Here is a 26289-nt window from a genome sequence, read left to right on the forward strand (position 1 = left end):
TCACTGTACCCCCAGTATGCAGGATGTTTAGGAGACGAGCAAGATATGAGCCTGAGCTCCAGGAGGAGACTGGTACAGGGTCCAGGGAAGAGATTACAGTGGCCTGACCTGTGGCTTTGACAGGTGGGACGAAGACAGTGAACAAAGAGAAATACTTAAGTAAGAACAAAAGTAAAAGTAAAGTTGCTCAAAAAATTCAATGTTAAGATATACACAGAGCCAACAGAGACATGCCTTTGCCTCAGGATTGTTGGGCTACAAGACCTATAAAAGTTGAACTATCACCAGAATAAATGTATAAACATACTAAAACATGACTGATCTGGAAAAGGAGGAGAGCAGAGAAAAGCAGTCACCCAAGAAAACATTGGAAATGGCCACAGATCTCTGTAAGGTGGAGGTGGGTGAAGGGCTTGGTGACCAATGGGTTCATTACAAATTTAAGATGAACCTAACTGTCTTCATTTGATGCCATCAAATGTTTAACTATTGAACCTTGTAACCCTCCATCCCCTCCTTCTGCCTCCCTGTGAACAAGCAATGGTCAAGTCTTGTCTCCCCTTACAAGTCTATTGATATATGTTGCAGCATTGTCAACGCTGTATGTTATTTCCATTGCAAATGAAAGTGGAATGAATTCTGGCATGTGACAATCTTACTTCATGAACTGTTTAATATAAGCCTTATCCTAGCTGACATATCGTTCTTTCAGGGGCAGACAAAAATAAGCCCTGCATTTAGGATTGACCTGAGAGGTGAGTAGTGGGAAAGACAACAGCAAGACCGAGAGCCAGATCCTGGCTGGCCCTTGGAAAACCCTTCATTAGGAATGTGCAGTCTTTGGGGTTCATAGCAGCTCACCATGTTTTTCACATTTTTTTTTGTAGAGTTCAGTTCATTTACAGTAGAGATGACAATACCCACATTCTGCTTATCACACTACCCATGAACATACTACATTCATATGGCATCATACTGTTCTAAGATATTGAATTATGTAGTAAGTAGATTTTAAGAATCAGCTCAAAGTTTGTTTCCCAAAGCCTACCTTATTATACCTGTGCTCAGCTTTTCTGACAGAAATTCATAGATGGCTCATGTGTTAACATGTACTACATCTATATTTCATTTCTCCCACAGGAAGAATCCTAACTCCCAAGAAAACAGATGAGAGAGTCAGAATATCTCATAAGTATATATTTTTATTATTCCATGATAGTCATACAAATGTCCTAGAATAACTACTAATACTACCACTACCAACTCATTACTGAGAAGAGTTAAAACAAATTTCATACTACCTTCCCATCTCCTCCTTTTAAAATAGTTTTACTATATCTACATTATCTGAGTACAATACCATCTTTCTTTTAACTTTTATTTCATCTTAGTTCTATAATTAAGGATATGTTTAACACTTACCTCCTGTTCCTATGATGATGGCTCCCTAGTTATTTCACTAGTCTGAAGCTTATAATCTTGTTCTAGAGTAGATTTCTCAGGAAAAGTTCATGGGACTAAAACTTAGATTTTGCTTATTGAAAACATTTTGTCTACAATCTTTATCTCAAAAGCCAATTTTGCTGGATATAATTCAGGGTGCACATTTTATTTTTCTGAAGTGTTTTCAATATGTTGTTCCAGTTACCTTTAGTATAAAAGCTTTGCTGCCCCCAAATCTGATAATAATCTTTTTTCCCTTATAAAACCCTTACTGATTTTTCCTGGACATCCAAAATATATTTTTCTTTTTCTATAAAGTCTAGTGATTTTACTAGAACAATTATTGGTATTGATTGTATTAGGTCAATATTCTTAGAAATGTAATGCTCTCTTTTAACATGGATTTACATTTTTTTAATTTTAGGAAAGTTTTCTTGAATTACAGTCTTCAGCATTTCTTTCCTTGCTTTAGTTTTCTTTGTCAAGAATTCCTAGTATCTATATATTAAATCATCTTTTACACATTTTCTGTAATCCTTTTTATTCTCTCATTTCATGTACATGCTATTGAAGTATAATTATATACAATAATATGCATTGATATTAATGACAGTTTGATATATTCTACAAATGTGTAATACACTCATGAAACCAACATACAACCAAAACCTAGGACATTGCCCTCACTCTAGAAAGTTTCCTAGTGTCCCTTTTTAAACTATCCTGCTCTCCAATTAGAGACAACCATTATTCTGATTTCTTGCCCCATATATTAATCTTGCCTGTTCTTGAACTTAATAAAAATGAAATCATAAGGTAGATATTATTATGTCTCTATTCTTTCACACAACATGAGATTCATCCATGTTCTTGCATGTAACAAGAGCTTATTCCCTTTAATTGCTGAGTAATGTTCCATTGCATGAATACACAATGTTTATTCTTCTGGTGATGAACATATGGGTTGTTTCTAACTCTCACTATGACAAATAAAGGTACAATCAACATACATACACAAGATTTTATTAACATATATTTTCACTTAGTGTGGTTATATGCTTAGGAATGAAATTGCTGCATGATAAGGCAGGTGCATGTTTAACTTATAAGAAATTGCCAAACAAATTTACACAATACTTTTGTCATTCTGCCTCCTACCAAGAATGTATGAGACGCATTTGGTGTTGATAGTCTTTTAAATTTTAGCCACTCTAATGCGTATGTAGAGGTATTTAATTATAGTTTCCATTTGCATTTTCCTGATGACTAATGATCTTGAGAGTCTTTTTATGTGTTTATTGGCCATCTATATACCATCTTTTTGTGAAATATCTATCCAAATTCTTTCTTCTTTTATTGGGCCGTTTGCCTTTTATTATTATTATTATTATTATTATTATTTTTGTTGTTGTTGTTGAGATGGAGTCTCACACTGTCGTCCACGCTGGAGTGGAGTGGCACGATCTCGGCGCACTGCAAGCTCCGCCTCCGGGTTCACGCCATTCTCCTGCCTCAGCCTCCCAAGTAGCTGGGACTACAGGCGCCCGCCACCACGCCTGGCTAATTTTTTGTATTTTTAGTAGAGACGGGGTTTCACCCTGTTAGCCAGAATGGTCTTGATCTCCTGACCTTGTGATCCGCCCGCCTCGGCCTCCCGAAGTGCTGGCATTACAGGTGTGAGCCACCACACCTGGCCTGCCTTTTATTATTAATCGTATAATCTGGATTTGAATTCTTTGTCAGATTTATTTATTGCAAATATTTTTTCTCAGTCTTTGACTTTTCATTTCTTATTGGTATTTTCTGATGAATGAAAGTTTTTAATTTTGATGAAGTCCAATTGATAAATTTTCCTTTTACAGTTAGTGCATAGTTCAGTGCAGAAACCTTGCCTATTCCCAGATCATAGAGATATTCTCCTGTGTTTTTTCTAGGAGGTTTATTGTTTTGACTTTTACATTTATTACTGTAATGCATTATTACTGTATTGCATTATTACTGTACTACATCTTGTAATACATAAGCAACATGTCTTAGTTTGTGTGGCTATAACAAAGCCATCCATAGACTGGGTGGCTTATATACCATAGAAGTTTATTTTTTACAGTTCTGGAACATGAAGTCTGAGAATAGGGTAGCAGCATGGGCAGGTTCTGGTGAGGGCCCTCTTCCACCATGCAGACTGTTGTATTCTTTTTGTATCTTCACCTGGCAGAGACATTGGAAAACTCCCTGGGGTCTCTTTCATAAAGGTAGTAATCTCACTTCTGAAGCCTCTACCCTCATGACCTAATTGCCTCCCAAGTGCCCCACTTCCTAATATCATCACACTGGGAGTTAGGATTTCAATGCATAAATTTGGAGGAGGCACATTCAGTTCATAATAGAATGGATCGAGGTTTTTGTTTTTGTTTTTTTCTAAATATACATTCAGTTCACCCAGATAAATTTTTGAAAATATTGCCTTCCCTCATTAAATGACTGGTACTTTTGTCAACATCAACTGAACATACGTTTAGTCCTGATTATGAACCCTCTCTATTCTGTTCTATCCATGTATTCATCTATCTTTTTGCAAATACCACACTGACCTGATTACTGAAACTTTAGTCTGAAAATCAGGTAGTGTAAGTCCTTCAACTTCGTTCTTATTTTCCATGATTGTTTTGGCCATTCCAGGTTTAGAATATCATTTTCATTATTCAAAAGTTCATCGTTATGTTTGATGCTATCTCTAGGTTTTGCAGAGATGCCCATTAATAGGGTTGAAGATATTCCCTTATACTCTTAAGTTTGCTGAGAAATTGATCACAAATAAGCATTGAATTTTGTCAGATTCTTCTGTATCAGTTGAAATGATTATATTTTTCTATGTTACTGGGAAAATATATTGAATTATCAAATATTAATCAAACCCTGAATTTCTAATATAAGCTCTCCTTTGTCCTCTATATAGACTACTAGAAACAGGGTCTACTTTGTCTGACATTAGTATAACTACTAGCTTTTATTTTTGTTTGGTACTTGCATGATATACCATTTTCCATCCTTTGATTTTCAGCTTTCTAACCTTTGACTTTCACCTTTTGTGTTTATATGTTTAAGGATTGTGTCTTATATGTGCAGCATGTAAGTTTGATTTTGCTTTTCAGTCAGTCTGATAATGTTTACCTTTAAATTAGAATATCTAGTTTATTTATATGTAATATAAATGCTGACATAATTATATCAACCACTTAATTATTTTCTATTTGTCTCACTGGATTTATGTTCCATTTTATTTTTTTTCCTTCTTTTGATTAGTCTAATATTTATCAAAATAATAATCACTAGTATTTTAATATTCAACTTTCTCCTGTATTAGTTTGTTAGCTCTACATTCTTTTATTATTTTTTATGGTTATCATAGAAATTACAAAAAAAATTAATCTTTTATAGTCTCAAATAAATTAGTAGTTTTATCACTTTCCAAGCAAGGCAAGGATCATGAAACACTTAAATTTATCTTGCATCACTGTTGTGCTTTTTTCACATGCATTTCATTTCTATACATATTTTACATCCTATCTTATATTATTATTAATGTGATTGATTTGCATAATCAATATCTATGTATCCCCATATGTTTCTCCTTTACGTTATAATCCAGTTACGGACTGAGCTGATTTGATGTGGACTGTGGTTTTATAAAACTTGTTCTGCTTCACCTGGTGCATCCTGTTCTGAGGGTAGAGCTATCCGGGGGTCCTGGCTGAGATTCTGGGTTCCGATGGTGTACTTGAACCTCTAATCCTTTGAAAGTCTTGACTCCAATTTTGATTCCTCAGCACCGTGAGACTTCCAGAAACTTTACTCTGATTTTCAGCAGCTTACTGCTTAGTTTTGTACCCTGTGCCTTGTGTAGCCTAAAATGTGATAAATATGAAAATTTTTCTAGAGGGAAACCACCAAGTGTCAGTCTCACTTTTCTTTACTTCCCTCTCTCCAGGATCTCGGTTCCTCAAGTTCTAGCTGCCTTGGAGCACTTGAATTCAAAATTTTATGTCTACAGTCCTGTGAATGTATCAAAAATTTTCCTTGCTTCTTTGCCTCTTAGTTAAGACTCTCTGCCTGGATTCTTAGTCTGTTGTCCTGTATCAAGAATCATCAAAAATTCCAAGGGGAAAAACAGCTTGAAGATGATCCGCTTACCTCTCTGAAGTCCTGTTCCTTCTAATTTGTTGATCCGTTGCATTCTGGTGCTGTGACAGCTTCTCAATATCTTCCAGTGGTTTAAAAAAATTTATCTGGTTTTTCTTGTTGTTTTCAGTGGGAGAGTTAGTTTGCCCTGGGGTACTACATATTAGCTGAAAGCAGAAGTCTTCTTATGCCAATCTTGATCCCTCCCTTTTATATTATATCTACCACTTAACACTATTGGAGGATGTTAGAAAACCAATACCTTTCTCAATAGGCTGTGATGTGGCTATGATGTTCTTTAGGACTATGGTGATTACACTTGTAATACTATGAGAGAAATTGTATGATAATTGCTTATTCAGTTCTGTTTCAGGTTCCATGTGTGATGACATGAAGCTATTAACGCCTCTGCTTCAAGAGAAATACTAGTGTAAAATAAACGTTAGTGGAAGTAGGCATCTAATATTGAGGTTAGTGCTATAGCCAAGAATTTCAGAATTCTCACAAAATTTAGGTTTTTGTGTTATAAGTCCTTTATAATTATCATTACATCTTCAGTTCTAAGCCTCTTACTAAATAATTATTTCTTCTTTTCAAAACATCCTGAGGTGAAAATTTTAACTTTTGGCAAGTTGTTTTCATCATCCTTTTCTCTTCCCCTCTGTAATAAATCAAAGTAAGGTAATAAAAAGTCTGACTTTGGAAGTTTGTCATCTAAAGTCTCTCTGGAAGCACAGCAGGCTATTTTCCCTTTTGTGTAACTTGATCTACCTTTTTTTTCCTCCTAATTTTGAGCGGCTGCTTTCTCATTAGAAAAGATGCCTATATGTGAGAACAAACACTTAAAATGTATGTACAGTTAAATAATGTATTTACAACATGAAAAGTACTAACTGTACTCTACTGTGGAGTTCTGAAGTAAGAAAAGCTTCAGTAGTAATTAACTTAAAAATATTAGTACTGTGCCAAATTCTGTCATTTACATTTGGCGTGTCTCCTTAGTAGCTGTTCATATCTTTTAATATACAGTTTTAGAATGTTTACATTATATCTTTTTTTAAGTGAAAGAAAATATGTATGCAGCCCCATATAGTATCTTAGTTCCTGGGGTAAAGCTAAGAGGAAAAAGAATCATGGTCTGAATTATTAGGTCATGATAAATTTATTTTTATAATAGAAGTTATTGCTTATTTTTATATTAAAAATAATAAATATTTACAGTGTGCAATTTGGAATATATTGGGAAGCACAAGGAAGCTAATATTAATTACTTCCAATTATACCTAGAAAGAAAAATCACCACTGATATTTTTATGTATATCCTCATTTTAACACACACGTATACATACATGCATATACATACACACTATTTTTACTATTTTTTTAATTTAAATTTTCCTGGGGATATTATGACATTCAATATTAAATTTTATAATTAATTTAAGAATTTATAATAAAAATAATTGCTTTTGCTATCCCTTCAATTAGCAAAGTAATAGAGAAGCTCAAAATTATTTCTTGCTAATATTCATACTTGGAATATTTCCATATTCTGTTTTGATTTATTCAGTCATTCATTTAACACTCATAATAAGTAGAGTGGCCATATGTCTTTGTACCTACCCAGGCAGTCCCAATTTATCCCTTTTTTATGGCTTAATTATAAAGAAAACTTCTTTCACGCTTAAAAGTAATGTTCGCATGAGAAATTCTATGGTTTTCTTAATTATTTGAAAAAATTGGGGCATATGAAAGCAGAATAATGTGGCACATAAGGTAATTCTGACATGAATTATGTCAGTCTTTAGAGACTATGGCCTATGGGAGATTAGAATTAACATTAATAACATATAAGGAGTAAAAAGGATCACAGGAGAGGTACTGAGATTTCGCCTACATTGCAATGTGAATTGTACAGGAACTTGACAAACATGTTGGAATTGTGAAGGAAACATATGCAAGATTCCACGAAGGCTAAGGATCCTTTAGGGAACCTAAACATTATCAAAGAAACAGACGGAAGAAAAATATTAAGATATCATTTTACAATCCTTGGTTTGGCAAAAATTAAGAAATAAAGAATTCTGATGAGACTTTTGTTTTGGATAGCATGAAAGAGACTGTGGCGGAATAGCTCCCAAGAAGAATAATTGGAAAAACAATAGGAAGGACAAAGATAATTTATTTACAGCATCAGGGAGCTACTGAAATGATGAAGATTAATGAGACTCAAATTTCAGAGAGAAGAGAAATGAAAACTGAGACAATTATCTGCAACAGTGTTTCCACGGGACAAGCACTAATAGTGCAAATTTGCCAGTTCAGGGCACTATATGGAGGCTGAGTGTATTTGTTCATTCTCACACTGCTATATGGAACTACCTGAGACTAGGTAATTTATGAAGAAAAGAGGTCTAATTGACCCACAGTTCCACAGGCTTAACAGGAATCACGACTGGGAGGCCTCAGGAAACTTACAAACATGGCAGAAGGCGAAGGGAAAGCAAACACGTCTTACCATGGCAGAGCAGGAAAGCAAGTGAGTGAAGGGGGAAGTGCCACACACCTTCAAACAACCAGATCTCCTGAGAGCACACTCACTATCACAAGAACAGCAAGGGGGAAGGGGGAAGCCTGCTTCCGTGATGCAATCACCTCCCACGAGACCCCTTCTCTGACATGCTGGGATTACAATTTGAGATGGGATTTGGGTGGGACAGAGAGCCAAACCATATTCCTGAGTTTCCAGGCTTGGGCTTGGCAGAGAATCAATGGAAGGACCAGAGGAAACAGGAAATCTTTTGGTCACAAAGGACTGGGGTGAGGAAATGAAAGGCCAGAGAGGCTTCACCACAGGTCCAGCTTCTCCCTCAACACATTTGCTGATGTCTGCCATTGGGTGGGTCAGAAAGATTAAAAGATAAGCTGAATACATCTGACATACAAAATAGGTTTCCATGGAGTTCTCCAGTGCTGAGAGACAGACTCATCGAGGAGAGGGCTCAAAAACACTTTTGTAATCATGTGAAGCTAAAATGACAAAATTGAAGACTCAAAGTCATTCAAACACATGATCAAGGCTCCCTGACAAGATATTTTCCTAATTTTGAAGCTATCTGCAGCAGAAGACCAAAAATCTAAATAGAAAAATCTTTAAAAAGCAGGGAACGTAAAGAAAGACCCACCAGATGAAGTGCACTAGTGCACAGCCAGGCTTTCTGTTGAAAGTCCCGAAGGGATATGCCCTGTGGTAGACTGATTTTTATCAAAATGACTGTGACTCAGCTCAGTCAGTGGTTGGATTACGTTAAGCAGTGCCCCTCTACTTAGGAGAGGAAATGGTAAGGCAAGATAGCACTTTCTAGGGCCTCTACATAATCTTATTTTATATGTTCACAGTGTCTCATCTGATATAAAATACTATTAGGCATACCAAGAGATAGGACCATATTACTGGAAAACCTAGGGAAACAGACAATAGAAGCAGACCCCCATGTGATACACTATTGGAGAATGTTAGAAAACCAAGTCAGTATTCTTAACATTGGTAAATAAAGGAAAAGAATCATCTATTTGCCTTGCATTTTCTGTTTGAACTCTATCTCAGAGAAACTAAATAGATGATGAGGGAAAGTTCTTTGTTAGAAGGGAAATACAGTTGACAGATACAAAAAGGATGATAGAATTGCATTACCACTTTGTAGTCTCATAATAAAATAATTTATCTATACTCTGATAATTAATGGCTGCTAAGACCACCAGAGGAAAGACTGATGGGATGTTTTACAAAGTATTCATCAGGATAACAACATCTGATATCTTTGAAAATTGCCATAATAAAAAGTTAATTTTAAAAATGTCTAAAAACCAAGCAGAATGTCTAAAAACCTCATACACTAGTGTAAATTGTGCAAGAACTTTGCAAAGCAATTTGGTAATATATAAGAAAGATGAATGTGCATGCTCAACAATGTACCAATTCTAGTTCTAAGTAAATATCATGGGAAAAAAATCTCCCATTAACAATGTTTATTGCAGTATTGATAAAATAGCAAAATGTAGGAAAAAAACTAAATGGTCATCAGTAGAAGAATGGATTATTTTTTAAAGTGTGGTATTTGTTCAATTTAGTTTAAGTGAATGAACTAGAGTTATACTCTAGCTATACATAATACTAGTTATACATAATACCGTGCAAAAAGGGAAATTGTTGAATGGAAATGTAATGTCAAGTATATAAAATATAATATGCTAAACACTATCATGTATTATTTACTAACACATATGAATATACATATTCAACATAAAATATGCCAAGTGACAATACATACCAATTTGTCTCTTTAAAAGGAGCAGATTCATATTTAGAATAATATACAGAGGGCTTCAAACATATCCTTAATATTTTCAAAAGAAAGAAGATTTTAATAGGGCAAAATGTTAATATTTGTCAAATCTATGGTGGTAACTAAACTGAATGTGATTAAACCATTCTCTGTAGTCTCTTACTAGCTTATGAATCTTAATAATTAACAATTTTGAAATGAAGCAATATTTTACACCTATATGGAAAGACTGCATTGTGCATATATATAAAGAGTTTTAATATACATGCATGCGTTAAAAGGAAGGGTGGAAAAAATTTCCATTTACAGAGAGCCTACACACATACCCAGAGCTCCATTCTCCATTCCTATAAACAAATGCTGAAAAACAAACATTAAAATTCAAAAAACAGGCAAAAATGCATTTGGCTTTGGAAAGCAATCAGAGGCACAAATTATGTATTTATCTATAAAAACAACATAAAATAGACTGTACCCTGCTAAAATGGTCTTGAGTGGTGGCTGTCATTCTTTATGATTACTTTGGACAGCTGCTGCATTATTATTTCCATGGTGAGCTTTCTATATTTTTAAGACTGACCATCTGGAATTGTATAGAACATTTTATCTCTGCTAAAAAGTAGATTAACCTCCAAACCTCCGAAAACATGCAACTTCATAGACAGCTAACCTGACTGTGTGCCTCACCTGTTCCTGACAAATCCATTCAAAGTCACTGTTACCCAAATAAAAAAGTCTGGAAGAGAGAGAAAATAAAGTTTAATTTATTTTCTACTGGAAGTTATTGACATTCTTGAGTAAGGAAAGTGGCTGAAGTCAACAAGTAAAGTGAAGGGAAGTTTGAGATCCTATGAAATAAGTCTAAGCTAAATACACACTGATATTTTAAATGTCTGAGTCTTTTGTCTGTGTCTTTATTTTTCCATCCTTCAAAATAAGGGTATTAATAGCAATGGCTTATGGATTAGGCTGGAATAGCATTTTGCTATTTGAAAGCATTTTCACACATACTTTTTCAACAATCCTTCTTTATGGATGAAAAAATTGAGTCTGAAAGAAGTGATCATACAATTGGAAAGTGCCAGGCCTCCTGATTCAATGTCCAGAGATCTCATTGCTAACATCATACTGAGTAAAATTTATTTGTAACAAATTCTAACTTCATTTAAAAAATAAATCTTTACATAGAAAGTGAAGAATGGGTGACCTGATGTAAATAAAATATTAAAGCAAAGTCATACTGAGTTAAGTATCTCTCAAAGAGAGATAGGCTGTTATATCAAGGAAGACTATTTGGACAATGGAAATATATGGGTAAAGTTACGCAGAATCCATCAGTGTATGACAAGCAGTGACTTTACAAAAGGAAGAAAGGAAAGGAAAAAGGAATGGGAAGAGGAGGAGAGGAGAGGGAAATGGAGGAGAGGGAAAGGGAGAGGAGGGAGGGAGGGAAAGAAAGGAAGGAAGGAGGGAAAGAAGAAGGAAGGAGAGAAGGGAAAAGAAGAGAGAGAGACCTTTGCACTTTAAGAAGAAATTGAAGAGGACCCTTTCTAACTAAACTACTTCTGGGGTTTCTTTAAATCCACAACTTCTGCCAAAAGATTCAAGCACAGATTTGGGACTTATATTTGACAAGCCCCCATATGCTACATTTTCCCTCCAAGCTTTTACTCTGGCTTGCTGAATCTGTGGTTGGTTGAATATGTGGTTTTACAATTGCTAAAAATACCCTGAAGTCAACCTCTTTCTCTCAGTTTTTATGCAGTTGATAAAATGGCCACTCTGGCCTCAGATTTTACATGGCTTGTCCTGTAACCTTTAATAAAACACTCCTTTCATAAAAGCAAGGTCTGTATGCAGGGTCATTTATGTTTCACTTCAATGCAAAGTGAAAGTCGGAGACCAAACAAAAGGGATCATAAAGGAGATGCTCTATTTTTTTTTTTTTTCAAATCTCTCCATCAGTAGTTAATTAGGGTGTCTTTGGGATTACTGAGTTACTGTGTGAAGCTTGGCTGTCAATATGCCGGAAGGCCTCAAAGGAACCGCAGAACTGTCCCCTAACTGCAGGAGTAGGTTTTAAGAGGGAATGCAAGTCACAGAGGCCACAGAGCTTCCTGTCCAATTTCCGGGAGACACAGAAGTACAGATGCTGCCTGGGTGCACCACACTGTGGGACTCTGCTAAGGTCAGTACACCGAGTTGCTAAGTTGTCAAGGCATCCCCCCGCCCCTTGTTTTTATCATTAGACATCCCCAGCAGGCAGGACCAGCTGCATTGTTTGCAGGGCCCAGTGCAAAATGAAAACACGGAGCTCCTGATTCAAAAAGCAGAGGTAAAGTGTTAAAGGTACTACATTATAAAGCCACAGCTTCTCTTGATCTGTCATGGTGTTTTGTATTTTTCATTTAGTGCTGTGTTCCCTTGTGTGGGGCAAATGAAGTCCCACCAGACACGGCCATCCCCATTTTGTGACTGCACGTGCTCAGCCCACAGGCTGCCAGGTTCCTCTCCAGCCAGTCACTGGGCAGAGGTCATAGGGAAGTTGAACCGGTTACCTCTCTTTCTCATGTCCTCTTTGCCTCAGCCCATATTAGACAGGTGACTCCCAAGGGTATTGCAATAACAGTGCAGAGACACCTAAGGTATCTGGATAAAGGATGTGCAAGAGGCTTGCCACTGCGTGTTGCCTACCAAAAGTGCAGTGGCACTTCCGGTCCAGGGAGGAGACAGCCACTGCCATTCATTGCCTTGAGATAGTACAGGGCACATATATCAGACCCTGATCTTGTCGGGACTTATGCCCAACCCCTTGTCAATGGTGGAAAGTGGTAGTGATTTCTAGACAGGGGCAGGTAGTGGGAGGCTGGACAGGGCTGGGACCCAGGGGACAAGAGTCCGAAAATCCCAAAGCCTGTCCAGAAAGGCAGGGAGGCTGCAAGATGTGGGCCATGTGTAAACTGAGGCTCCAATCTCCCAGCGCATGCTCTATTTCCCCATTGACCATCACTTGCAAAACACAAATTAAAAGATAACATTTTTATGAATTTCAAGAGGATGATTACAGAGCACTAAACATCAAGTGCAGGGCTCTTCGGAGGTAGAGATTGTGTTTGTCTGTCTGTCTGTTCTGGTTCCAGGCCCGTGAAGCTGGTCCTGCCAGGGCCCCAGTTCCCAGTGCCAATTGAACAGGCCACATACAGACATTCCTCAAAAGTAGAGTTAATTAGAGGCTCAAGAACATGCAAACAAGGCAAAGCCTAATGCTTTGAGTGTATTTTCTATCTTCTTTCATGAGAAATAAAGTTGCTTGAATATCATTTTACATATTACTTCCCACTACATTTACATATTCAGACATACCTTTATTCCTGATCATCTCCTTGCTAACATTTACATTGTTTTAATGATCTTTTGATTTCGAGTAGGCATCTTGAATGTCAGGGGCATATTACCTTGATAAGTTTGATAGCAAACAGTGTCTGTTTTTCTAATTTTATTAAATGAATGGATTATTGCAGTAATAATGAAGTTACACCAAGGTGTCTCAAATTCTTATCTTTTGATGAGGATTTCAAATTACTCTCGGTAAATCATGCACCTTTAAATGATTTCATGAATGGTCCAAACTTGATGGAATTGTACATATGGATTAACTTTGTTTTTTCTCTGTTACATTCAATGTGCTATGGAAAATCTTTTCCTGCCTTATACATTCAGTTCAAATCCCTTGCTTTCAGGTAGTGAACATCTGTTCCAGAGTATTCTTGTTTAAAATTTAAAACTCACAGCTCTTCTTCCCAGCACCTGTCAGGCCTCAGCCTGAGAGACTTGGAATGGGAAGGGGCATGGTCTCCTCCTGCAATACCTCTTCCTCCTCTTTCTTCTGAGTTTTCACTCGTCTGTCTACTTTGATGGGAAAAAGAGATAGAAGAGAAGGAAAAGGTCTTTGATTTGCCAGGAGCCATTTTGGTCCTCTTCCAGGTTACCCTGGACAGTTGTCACCAGGATCTTCTGGGTAGAGGGTCAGATGTTGACTCATAGAGAACATTGATGAGTTTGAGGAGCCCTGTAGAGAACTGCATCATGGCCAGAGTCCCCTGACATGAGAGATTTCTCCCCAGTTGAACCAGCTTCACCCATACCACCTGTAGCATGTGCTGATAGTTCACCCTAAGCATCTTGTACCTGAAATTCTTTTCTATGACAGGCAGCCCGCTTATGTGGCATGACAGCCAGACAGCTTTATCCCATCACCTTCTGCAGTGCTAGCTGACTCATGGGAAATGCACTTATCCTTATTCCAACAAATGATGGAAAGGCCGACTACCCCTGGCTGCCCATCAGCCTTGTCATGTCTAGCTAGTTCTCTTCTCCATCTGCCAAAGGGGCACAGAAGCCAGACTATCCTAGGTGCTGTATAAGGAGACATCCAGCTAGGGAATGAGATGATATTCTTCCTGTGTGCAGATTCTTCCAATCTCAACAGGTGGGTCTGTTGCTGCTCCCTCTCTCTCTACCACTGGACACTTTCTGTCTTGTGAATGCCAAGAGATAAATATATGAAGTGACAGCAATGCATTCATTATGCCATAATATGCAGGAAAATTAACAGTGCAATTAAAAGTCACAGTGTCAGACATAAACTCATGCACTTCCTTTAGGAGTAGAGGGTGGGAAGAATCAGCCTACATCAGTGTAAGTAGAGATGAAGTCCACTGCCACAAGGGATAAAGAAGTGTGTCAACAGTGGAGGGAAAGAGCAAACCTGGGGTAGACACACACACACACACACAGCAAAAAAAGCATCTGCCACTTGGAAAGAGATGCACCCCACTGACAGGGTTTTAAGAAATAGCCTGGCAATGAGAAACAGCCAGGCAGAGCAAGGACCATAGAGCAAACGGAGGTGGAGGCAATACAGAGCAAGGCTCAGGGCCAGGCACTGCCTGAGTGGTGGACTTGCCATATCTGTACACATGTATAACCCCCTCGCTCACTGGGTGTCTTTTTCTTTTCAATCTTCAGGAAGAGGCAGCCAGAATTCTCGCCCACCAGCCAATGTCCGTCGGCACATGTGCAGCTTTGAAAACCCCCACACTGCAGTGAATGTGTAAGAGAAGCTGCATGGAAAATCTAGTGTTTTGCCCCTTGCTTTCTCTCTCCTGGGTTTTTCCACTTTCTAACATGGAAACAGATGTGGTGCATGCCATCAGAATGAAGAATTCATTTACGTGCCATGGTTTGCACGACTGCCTTAAATTGATTGTCCATCGTTCTTAAAAGGACACTGTCAAGTTGTTCATTTAGGCTTTTTGCTTTTTTATGTTTTGATGCACTATTTTTTTTTTCTGATTCTGGAGACTCACTTTTGTTTGTGACTCCCACTCACAAGCCCGAAAGTGAATTTTCCCCCTTCAGAAATTTGTCAGCTTCTCCTTGGCAAACAGAGCTCTTTCTTTTCTTTTCTTTTTTTGCCTTTTTGCGGTTGCACAAATGTTTGAAATGATGCTGTCTGCACTAAAGTAAAAGCCATAGCTTGAATTTATGGAAGAGTTCTATCATGTCAGTTTGCGGGGGTGGGTGCCAACATGAGCCTCTGCTGGGTGCCTCCCACACCCTGGGGAGCACAAAACAAAAGTTTTGTGAGTCCCACAAAAAGTACACTTTACAAAAAGGAAAAGTAGTCATTTTCCTAACATTATGAGTGATTTTTATCAGATTTCCTCGTCTGATAAAAATGATGCATGTTTGGTCCCATTTTTGACCTTTAGCTCTTGACAGTGTCTTTTTAAGTTAACAAAAGAACATAGACCATGTTCAGTTCGTTGTGCACGGAGTCTGTGGTCATTTTCAGCTGTTCCTTTACAGCCCTTCAAACTCCTTGGAGAGTCAAAGGTACACATTCCTGCAGCAGGAGGGAGCCCACTGATGAGGTGTCTGTGGCTTGAATAGCTCTTCAGATGAGAAGAGCCCAATTTGTTCAAATGTCTGCTACTGAACCTGGCCATGGAGGCTGATGAATAGGGCCATAACATCTCTTCCCTTCACTCAGTGGAGTGCAATGGGAAGTCTGTTGTCTGCCTTTCTGCTATTCCTCATACAAACCCAAATAGAAAGAGTGTGGTCTCCACCAAATCATATTGATTCTTAGAAGAACAAATATGGTAGTCCTGCTGGTGTTCCAGGTAGTAACTGAGAGGTGTCTGCGCATCTAGGTCAGAGCCACTCTACTGTGGCTGGATGAATTCTCTGTAATTCTCCCAAGCTCAGAAGGCACTGAGTGTTTCTTGTATCATGGGGTGAGTCTAACCAAGGACACAGCAAGGAGATTCTAATTGTGAGAGCTGCTGGCTGCCTGTCAAAAAGGATTGATGGGAATGGGTAGATGTGCTTGTCTTGTCCTGACAGCAGGGCCAGAGAGAGAGGAGAGTTGACTGACATTTTGTAACTAAAAGGTGAGTGCCTAAAAGCAAAAGTAAAAGCTGAATGTGGTACATCCCTGGTGGGTGACAAAAAATAAAGTAACAGTCAGCAAAGCTAACAGATTGGCCGTTAAGAACTTTCAGAATAGGATCTATTCAAACTTTCCTTCTTCAGACCATAAAGGATTAGGAAGAGATAAGTAGGTTTAAATCTGTGCACCATACACTAAACTAAGACTGGATATTTTTAGCCATGGTTGTTCCTGTTAAATTTTTTTTTAAAGATATGTTCTTCTGTGACCTTCAGTTCCCACTGTTTTTGTGAATAGGCAAGGCAAAGAGATTAGTGATGACGGAAATAAAGCTGCCTACTGGACCATTATGGTCTGTCTAGATCTATCCTACTCCTGAGAAATAATCCCAACAGAGCAATGCAACTGTAATTTTTATTGCAATTAGAAAATTGGTGAATTTTCCAGTTGCAGGAAATATGGCAGTTGCATTTCTTTGTTGGGAAATTGGCAAATTAGAAAATTTACCAGTTTTCCCATTTCTCAGGGTGAATTATGAGAACTCCAGGTAGAGCTGAGGAGCATAAAAATCTCTTACTATTAAGAGATTGTTTCTGGTAGCACAAAGTATAGAAGAAATAATAATGTTTGACCTGAAGTTCCTTTAAAGGGAGCGTAATTTAAGTTCATCTATACTTCCTGAAGAAATATAATCATATTTGTTATACCTCTGCTAAAGCAACGCCATGGTACCAACATGTTGTCTTAAATAGACTTTGGTAGGAGAATTTCTTAGATCAGCCAGTAATCATGATTAGGTTGAACTAAAGACCATTCAAACTGTACTTGGAAAAATTTTAGTATCCATCAGAATTCTATTCTTTAATATGAAATAAATTGGGTAATGTTCTCAGGAGAGTGGAGCCTCTACCCAGACAAACTTTATGGTGCCTTCTATACTTTACTGAATTTGATTAGGTAATTTTATTTCTGAATGTCTTTTTCTTTATTGATCAGATGAAGAAAGCACAGGTCTTAATAAGGGCAAACTGATTTTCTTTGTATTGTCTTTTATCTAGTGTCATATAACTTGAGGATGTAGGATGTAATTGATCTAAAGATCCTAAAAGAAGAACTGCATACTTAGACTTTGTGATATTCTCTAATTTTAGCAAGCCAATGACTCTCTGACTAGCTTATGATGAAGGTAGAATTAAAGGGGAAAAGGCTAAGATTCACAATGCCATTTAAGATGTCATATCAACAGAAACTACCAAGTTCTCATATAATTAGAAAGCATTTGTCTTAAAAAACACCTCAGAAATTCTTTACCTTACAGCTAGTGGTGAGTCAAAAAGGCGAGAAATTGTAATTATGTTCAGATAGGCCCCCAAGTTTGAGAATACATTCTAAATATGCAGATTTTTCTGGAAGGCTTTCAAGAAGTGGAGCTGGAGTCAGTGGGAGTCCTTTGTATTGATGACAAACTCGAGGTTGCCTGGGAAAACAGAAGTCTGATACAACTGGTGTCAAATAGTTCCTAGGCCTGAGATTCTACAAGACCTACTTCTCAAGCTGCACTAGGGTACCAGAGGGCTGACGAATGTGAAGTTGAAATATCTGGACAGCTGTATTTCCAGCATTCCTTTGGGAAAGTCTTGGTGGGGTCAGAACCTCCCCTTCCTTGACAGGCCTCATGTTCTAGCTGTAGCTGCGGGAGCCAGAGCAGAACTGTCCCGAAGTCTGTGCCTTTTTATCTTTTTTCTTGGTGAGCCAATTCCCTCCTTGCTGGGACTCAATGGTGTTTTCCGTTTCCATTTTCACTTTCAGAGAAAACAAATGCTACCCTCCTCAGGTTCCCAGGAGTGAGCCTCTCTTTCTTACGCGAAGGTCTTGCATTATCTGTGGGCTTTCTGGATACTGTCCTTGTATCTGTTGTGAAGCTATTAAGCCTAGAGGCAAAGACTTGATTTGGACATAAGAGAGACAGGTGTTGTGTAAGCTTCCCCTTCAGGCAGTTTGTGCAGGAGGCTTCCCTCCTGATGATCTCAAACACCCACCCACTGTTATTCCCATTTTAAACCTCTCTGGATCAGAGAACAGTGTACTCTGCAGATGTAACTAGTACTTACTGAAACAAATAAAACAGACAGGATCACTGAATGCCAAAGATACACTAATCTATTTACACCACCCACTCTCAACTATTCTCTAAAGTGCCGTAAATATTGGGTTTTCTGTTTGGGGGATTGCGATAGCTAACTAATGAAAGAAAAACCAAAGCAAGATCCCGAACCTGTTGTTGCTGGAACTGCAACCTCAGGCCTGCCTAGCTGTCCACACAGTAACTATACATTATCCTATACATCCTGTAGGCCTAACAGTGTTTTCCTCCAATTGAGCCACCTGAGATATTTACTCTAAATGCCTCTGCATTTGATCTTCAAATATAAGATTGATTTAGGCCTCAGGTCTGTCTTTTGAAGTCGGAGCAAAAGGTTCAGGTGCTTTGTAACAATTATGTGGTGTTTTCTAAACCAGATTGCTTTTCCTAAGATTAGGAAGCCAAATAAAATTAAACAATAGAAGGAAGAAGCTGGTGGCAGAAGCAGAAACGATTAAAGTTATCTGGGATTAAATAAATGTCATATTGCAGGATAATATTGCATTTTTATAATGTATTTATTCTTTCTTGATATAAATGGATTTGATTTTACATATTTTTCTCTTCTTAATATCACAGTAGTGGGTTCCCTGCCTTCTCAAATAAGATACTCTCTTTTCTCACCAAAACAGTTCTTAAGCCTTCACCTGAATCTATTATTACTAAATATACCTCTCTTCACGGCCATTTGAATACAGAACAAAACAAAAGCTTCCCAGAATTTAGTTACACATGTATTGAATAACACTCTTTATCATAACAGCATCTACATACATTTAAAAACAGCAGTGCATTGTCTACAAATACATAATATTTATTCAGTTTAAAAACAATGCTTAATGCAGGTATAGATGCATGGACCTTTCAGATTATCTATGGACCACAGGTAAGAAATGACTCATCTTGAAGAACTAAAGTTTGTACTCAGTGCTGCAATGTCTGTGAGATGATACATTCCTTCTACTATGTTTGATTTTTAAAAAGCAGTTTATTTTATCCTTGAAAAAAGATTACACTAATTTTCTTAATCTGATAAATGCCCTGAGGTGTGAGATCTGTTTCCTAATTAAAAGTACTTTACAGCAAATCTAGAGCAAGACTGAGGGGAACGAAAGTTACCAGTTTTGAAGGCCATAGTGAAAATGTCCCATCTCAACAATAAAAATTGGATTTAATTAAAACAGAACTAAATTCTGATTATATCTGTCTGCAACATGATTAATAATACTGTTAACTTATGGGTGCTTTTGATTTAAAAAGAGGCCCACATAGAACCTGTGGACAATGAGGAAAACAGCCCATGTGAATGAGTGGGTGAAGTGGATCACATTAGGGCTTTCAGGAAACAAGGTACCTTTTTGCTATTATGTGTAGAAACTAAGGCAATGTGTCATTGGAACAGCTAAGCCTGCTGGTTGAATTAGAGGCAGATTATTTCTCAAGGGACCTGTTTGTTGTTGTTGTTGTTGTTGTTTTAACACACACACACACACAACTAAATAGATACAGGATAACATTTTGTTTAAGCATTTTCCTGGTGAACATTAAAAAGGCATTTCCTAATGCCTATGAAGAAGTGGGAAGATGGGGAAGGAAACATTTTTTTCATTGCAATTTAAAATGATGCAAATTATTGAGTTGGATGCTATATATAGTAAGGCATACTTAAGGAGGGTAAGAGGCAAATAAGTTTTATATTTGCCTTTCTAGAAGAGGCATATTGAATGCATAAAAAAAACAAAGTGTGTATAGTGGTAGATGATGGGGCAGTTGAAAAAGATTAAGTGGAAGATGAGTTTACCTACAGTTTTAAGCTCAGAAGAGCAACTGTGGATTCTGGTGGTGATTCTGGCTAGCTGGTTGACTACCTGTTCTTGCCAGGGACACCACTGACCTGTTCTTTAGTTTGTTTACCTCAGAAAAGAGTCAGCTATTCCAACAAGATAGTGTGGAAGTCAATAAGACAATTTTTAAAAACTTTACAAGCACTTCCACAGTCTCAGATAATGTGTAAGGCATATATTTGAAAGAAATATTAACTTTGACATAACAGAGATGAGCTTTGTCTTAGACAATTAAAAATGCAGTGTAGGGTATCAGATATATGGAGGAACTACCTATTTCTCAAATAATCAGGTCAAAACTTTAACTGTTTTATCTATTTTAGAGCCTTTATATCCAGAATTTTCTATAATCAATATCAGACATTTACACTCATCTGTACTTATCTGGCTCACTTTACTTTTCAAGATTATAAAATATGAAATGTCAAAATATTACCTTCATCATAAATGATGCTCACATATAATTTTTGAAGTATTCGTTCTTGTATTCTCAAGATGATGAAATAAACCATTATTTAAACTACTGATCATTTCCTACATTTTTTCCAAACAAAAACTAGAATATGGATTAGTCTATTTCACACCTCCACTTAAAGAAAAAAATGTCCATTTTTATATTCCTTTTAATGTCATAAATGTGTTACTATTATGCTACTTTCTCTGTCATTTTACTGAGTACAGAGAAAAAGCAAACTTCTAAAAAAAGAAAAGAAACAATTATTTCCTGATTTAAGGATTCCACCGTTGTTATTAGTAGAAGGCTATGGTAAGGTACCAACATCTGCTTAAAGTTATACAGAAAAGAAGCTGAGTCCAGAAGTGAGATCAGAGTTATTACAATAGACAGAACAGAATTTGGGGTGTAGGCCACAGTACATCTTCTTATTTTCTTATTCAGGGAGAAATTCCATATGGCTGCTTTTCTGTGGGTGCCATGAAGATGGGAGTTGATAAGGCTGGGATGCTCCTGGCACCCTAAGACTCTTCTTCACCAAGGCTCAATGAGTAGAGGTTTTCGTCTCAGTAACTGCTGCTTTGTCTCAATCATAATTTTCTCTTATTTGCATCAAACTATCCTAAAGCAGGATGTGGGCATTTGTATTTTTCCTGGCTTCCTCATTCTATTGCTTTTCAAATACAGCTATTTCAATGTTCCTAGAGTGAAAATCCCAAACCAGCTTCTGTGAGTCAGGGCCTTTGTGTGAATTGTGATCCACTGTATGTGTGAGAAATAATGCATTGAAATGTTTTAAAAAAATCAAAAGCTATGAAGCTCATAAATTGACCATGAGTCTGAGTTTTTCTGTCATCTGCTTTTTTATGTTCCTTATAGGTACCCTGTGTGATCACGCCACCCTGGTCATGGGAAATACTTGCATATGAGAATGGGCAACTGAGAGGATCTATTTTATAATCCCACAACACAACGAGAGTAGCTTTGTATGTGGGTCCTAATTTGTCCCAAGGACAATAGCCATTATTTTGGTTGTCCATGTGTAACTAAGATTTTTTTTTTAAAGTTTTCCTCCATCAGTTGGGAGTTTTTCAAAAGTGTGTGTGTGTGTGTGTGTGTGTGTGTGTGTGTCAGAGAGAGACAGAGGGAGAGGGAGAGAGTGCAACGGAGAAAAAAGAGAGGTTTGTGAAATCTTAGACCTAAATGAAAATAGCTATTTCTACAACAGACTGGCTTTTCTCCTCAACAACTTTTCTCAGGGTCAATATTTCCTTCAGCTTTTGGTGTTCTTTTTGTAAGAGGAGGTATGGGGTGCTGGAGCAAAGGCCTACAGCAGAGACAGCAGTTAAATCACACTGAGCTAGGTTTGCATATGTTTTCTATGTATTTTATCCTGTGTGCATGATCTATCTGCAAATAAATCCATCTCTATTTTATTCATAGTTCTAATGGCAAGTCTGTGTCATGGTCTGAACCAGGTGGAGGACAGGTGCCCAAGGGACAGCATATGTGGCACCGCCTCTCTGTGCACGTGAAGACCAATGAGACGGCCTGCAACCAAACAGCCGTCATCAAGCCCCTCACTAAAAGTTACCAAGGCTCTGGCAAGAGCCTGACCTTTTCAGATACCAGCACCAAGACCCTTTACAACGTAGAGGAGGAGGAGGATGCCCAGCCGATTCGCTTTAGCCCGCCTGGTAGCCCTTCCATGGTGGTGCACAGGCGCGTGCCAAGCGCGGCGACCACTCCGCCTCTGCCGTCCCACCTGACCGCAGAGGAGACCCCCCTCTTCCTGGCCGAACCAGCCCTCCCCAAGGGCTTGCCCCCTCCTCTCCAGCAGCAGCAGCAACCCCCTCCACAGCAGAAATCGCTGATGGACCAGCTCCAGGGAGTGGTCAGCAACTTCAGTACCGCGATCCCGGATTTTCACGCGGTGCTGGCAGGCCCCGGTGGTCCCGGGAACGGGCTGCGGTCCCTGTACCCGCCCCCGCCACCTCCGCAGCACCTGCAGATGCTGCCGCTGCAGCTGAGCACCTTTGGGGAGGAGCTGGTCTCCCCGCCCGCGGACGACGACGACGACAGCGAGAGGTTTAAGCTCCTCCAGGAGTACGTGTATGAGCACGAGCGGGAAGGGAACACGGAAGAAGACGAACTGGAAGAGGAGGAGGAGGACCTGCAGGCGGCCAGCAAACTGACCCCGGATGATTCGCCTGCGCTGACGCCTCCGTCGCCTTTCCGCGACTCGGTGGCCTCGGGCAGCTCGGTGCCCAGCTCCCCCGTGTCCGAGTCGGTGCTCTGCACCCCTCCCAACGTATCCTACGCCTCTGTCATTCTGCGGGACTACAAGCAAAGCTCTTCCACCCTGTAAGGGGGAAGGGTCCACATAGAAAAGCAAGACAAGCCAGAGATCTCCCACACCTCCAGAGATGTGCAAACAGCTGGGAGGAAAAGCCTGGGAGTGGGGGGCCTCGTCGGGAGGACAGGAGACCGCTGCTGCTGCTGCCGCTACTGCTGCTGCTGCCTTAAGTAGGAAGAGAGGGAAGGACACCAAGCAAAAAATGTTCCAGGCCAGGATTCGGATTCTTGAATTACTCGAAGCCTTCTCTGGGAAGAAAGGGAATTCTGACAAAGCACAATTCCATATGGTATGTAACTTTTATCACAAATCAAATAGTGACATCACAAACATAATGTCCTCTTTTGCACAATTGTGCATAGATATATATATGCCCACACACACTGGGCCATGCTTGCCAAGGAACAGCCCACGTGGACATGCCAGTCGGATCATGAGTTCACCTGATGGCATTCGGAGTGAGCTGGTGGAGCCAGACAGAGCAGGTGCGGGGAAGGGAAGGGCCCAGGCCAGACCCATCCCAAACGGATGATGGGATGATGGGACAGCAGCTCCTTGCTCAGAAGCCCTTCTCCCCGCTGGGCTGACAGACTCCTCATCTTCAGGAGACTCAGGAATGGAGCGGCACAGGGGTCTCTCTTCATCCACTGCAACCCATCCAGTGCCAGCTTTGAGATTGCACTTGAAGAAAGGTGCATGGACCCCCTGCTGCTCTGCAGATTCCCTTTATTTAGGAAAACAGGAATAAGAGCAAAATTATCACCAAAAAGTGCTTCATCAGGCGTGCTACAGGAGGAAGGAGCTAGAAATAGAACAATCCATCAGCATGAGACTTTGAAAAAAAAACACATGATCAGCTTCTCATGTTCCATATTCACTTATTGGCGATTTGGGGAAAAGGCCGGAACAAGAGATTGTTACGAGAGTGGCAGAAACCCTTTTGTAGATTGACTTGTGTTTGTGCCAAGCGGGCTTTCCATTGACCTTCAGTTAAAGAACAAACCATGTGACAAAATTGTTACCTTCCACTTACTGTAGCAAATAATACCTACAAGTTGAACTTCTAAGATGCGTATATGTACAATTTGGTGCCATTATTTCTCCTACGTATTAGAGAAACAAATCCATCTTTGAATCTAATGGTGTACTCATAGCAACTATTACTGGTTTAAATGACAAATAATTCTATCCTATTGTCACTGAAGTCCTTGTAACTAGCGAGTGAATGTGTTCCTGTGTCCTTGTATATGTGCGATCGTAAAATTTGTGCAATGTAATGTCAAATTGACTGGTCAATGTCAACCTAGTAGTCAATCTAACTGCAATTAGAAATTGTCTTTTGAATATACTATATATATTTTTTATGTTCCAATAATGTTTTGTACATCATTGTCATCAATATCTACAGAAGCTCTTTGACGGTTTGAATACTATGGCTCAAGGTTTTCATATGCAGCTCGGATGGACATTTTTCTTCTAAGATGGAACTTATTTTTCAGATATTTTCTGATGTGGAGATATGTTATTAATGAAGTGGTTTGAAAATTTGTTATATTAAAAGTGCACAAAAACTGAGAGTGAAAATAAAAGGTACATTTTATAAGCTTGCACACATTATTAACACATAAGATTGAACAAAGCATTTAGATTATTCCAGGTTATATCATTTTTTTAAAGATTTTCCACAGCTACTTGAGTGTCTAACATACAGTAACATCTAACTCAGCTAATAATTTGTAAAATCTTTATCAATCACATTTTGCCTTCTTTTAATTTTTATGTTCATGGACTTTTATTCCTGTGTCTTGGCTGTCATAACTTTTTATTTCTGCTATTTGCTGTTGTGTAATATCCATGGACATGTAATCCACTTACTCCATCTTTACAATCCCTTTTTACCACCAATAAAAGGATTTTTCTTGCTGTTTTGATTTCTTCTATTATTTGTGGAATGAATTATACCCCCCTTAAATATCTTTGTTTATGCCTTATGTTCAGTCATATTTTAATATGCTTCCTTCATATTGAAGCTGCTGATTTCTCAGCCAAAAATCATCTTAGAATCTTTAAATATCCATTGCATCATTTGTTCAGAATTTAACATCCATTCCAATGTTGGAGGCTTGTATTACTTATATTTCATCATATTCTATTGCCAAGTTTAGTCAGTTCCACACCAAGAATGAACTGCATTTCCTTTAAAAATTATTTTAAAACACCTTTATTGAAAAGATCTCATGACTGAGATGTGGACTTTGGTTCCATGTTTTCATTGTAAGAAAGCAGAGAGCGGAAAATCAATGGCTCCAGTGATTAATAGATGGGTTTTTAGTAATTGACAAATTCATGAGGGAAAGCATATGATCTCTTTATTAGTGAATCATGCTTATTTTTTACTCTTAATGCCACTAATATACATCCCTAATATCACAGGGCTTGTGCATTCAGATTTTTAAAAAATTAGGATAGATAAGGAAACAACTTATATTCAAGTGTAAGATGATATCAGGTTGGTCTAAGACTTTTGGTGAACACGTTCATTCAACTGTGATCACTTTATTACTCTGAATGCCTACTATTATCCTGATTATGGGGTCTCCTGAATAAATAGAGTATTAGTCCTTATGTCATCATTGTTCAAAATTGGAGATGTACACATACATACCCTATACCAAGAGGGCCGAAACTCTTCACCTTGATGTATGTTCTGATACAAGTTGTTCAGCTTCTTGTAAATGTGTTTTCCTTCGGCTTGTTACTGCCTTTTGTCAAATAATCTTGACAATGCTGTATAATAAATATTTTCTATTTATTAAATGTGTATGTTCTTTCTCTATAGTCTGTGAGAGTTATAATAATAGAAATAGACCAGTGGAAGAAATAATTCCAAGGTTTTGATTTGACTCAGAACATGTCTTCTGGGTGAAAGCTGGAGAATGCCACACAAGATCTACAGATCAAGTAGGTGAGAAGTACAATTTGACCATGAAGAAGTGGTACCTCATGTTGTAACAGTTTTAAATGAACTCCAAAATTAAAATTTGCAGTGCCCTTGGCAGATATTGTC

At 38.3% G+C, this 26289-nt stretch overlaps 1 protein-coding gene across 8 annotated transcripts in view; it reads left to right on the forward strand.

Moving 5' to 3' along the window:
• GRM1 (glutamate metabotropic receptor 1) overlaps window positions 1–26039 on the forward strand; it is a 409895-nt gene extending 383856 nt beyond the window's left edge. For 5 of the 8 annotated variants that reach the window (XM_017010784.2, XM_011535782.2, XM_017010783.2 and 2 more), the window contains one exon: window positions 22310–26039. In XM_017010784.2, coding sequence (XP_016866273.1) covers window positions 22310–23234 — 925 coding nt within the window. In that variant the 3' untranslated portion in view covers window positions 23235–26039. Of the gene's footprint in view, window positions 1–14996; window positions 15082–22309 lie in introns of all 8 variants that reach the window. The other 3 variants (NM_001278065.2, NM_001278066.1, NM_001278067.1) reach the window with 3 other exon arrangements.

This window comes from Homo sapiens, chromosome 6 (genome assembly GCF_000001405.40).
Source record: "Homo sapiens chromosome 6, GRCh38.p14 Primary Assembly".
In the NCBI taxonomy this organism is placed as follows: domain Eukaryota; kingdom Metazoa; phylum Chordata; class Mammalia; order Primates; family Hominidae; genus Homo; species Homo sapiens.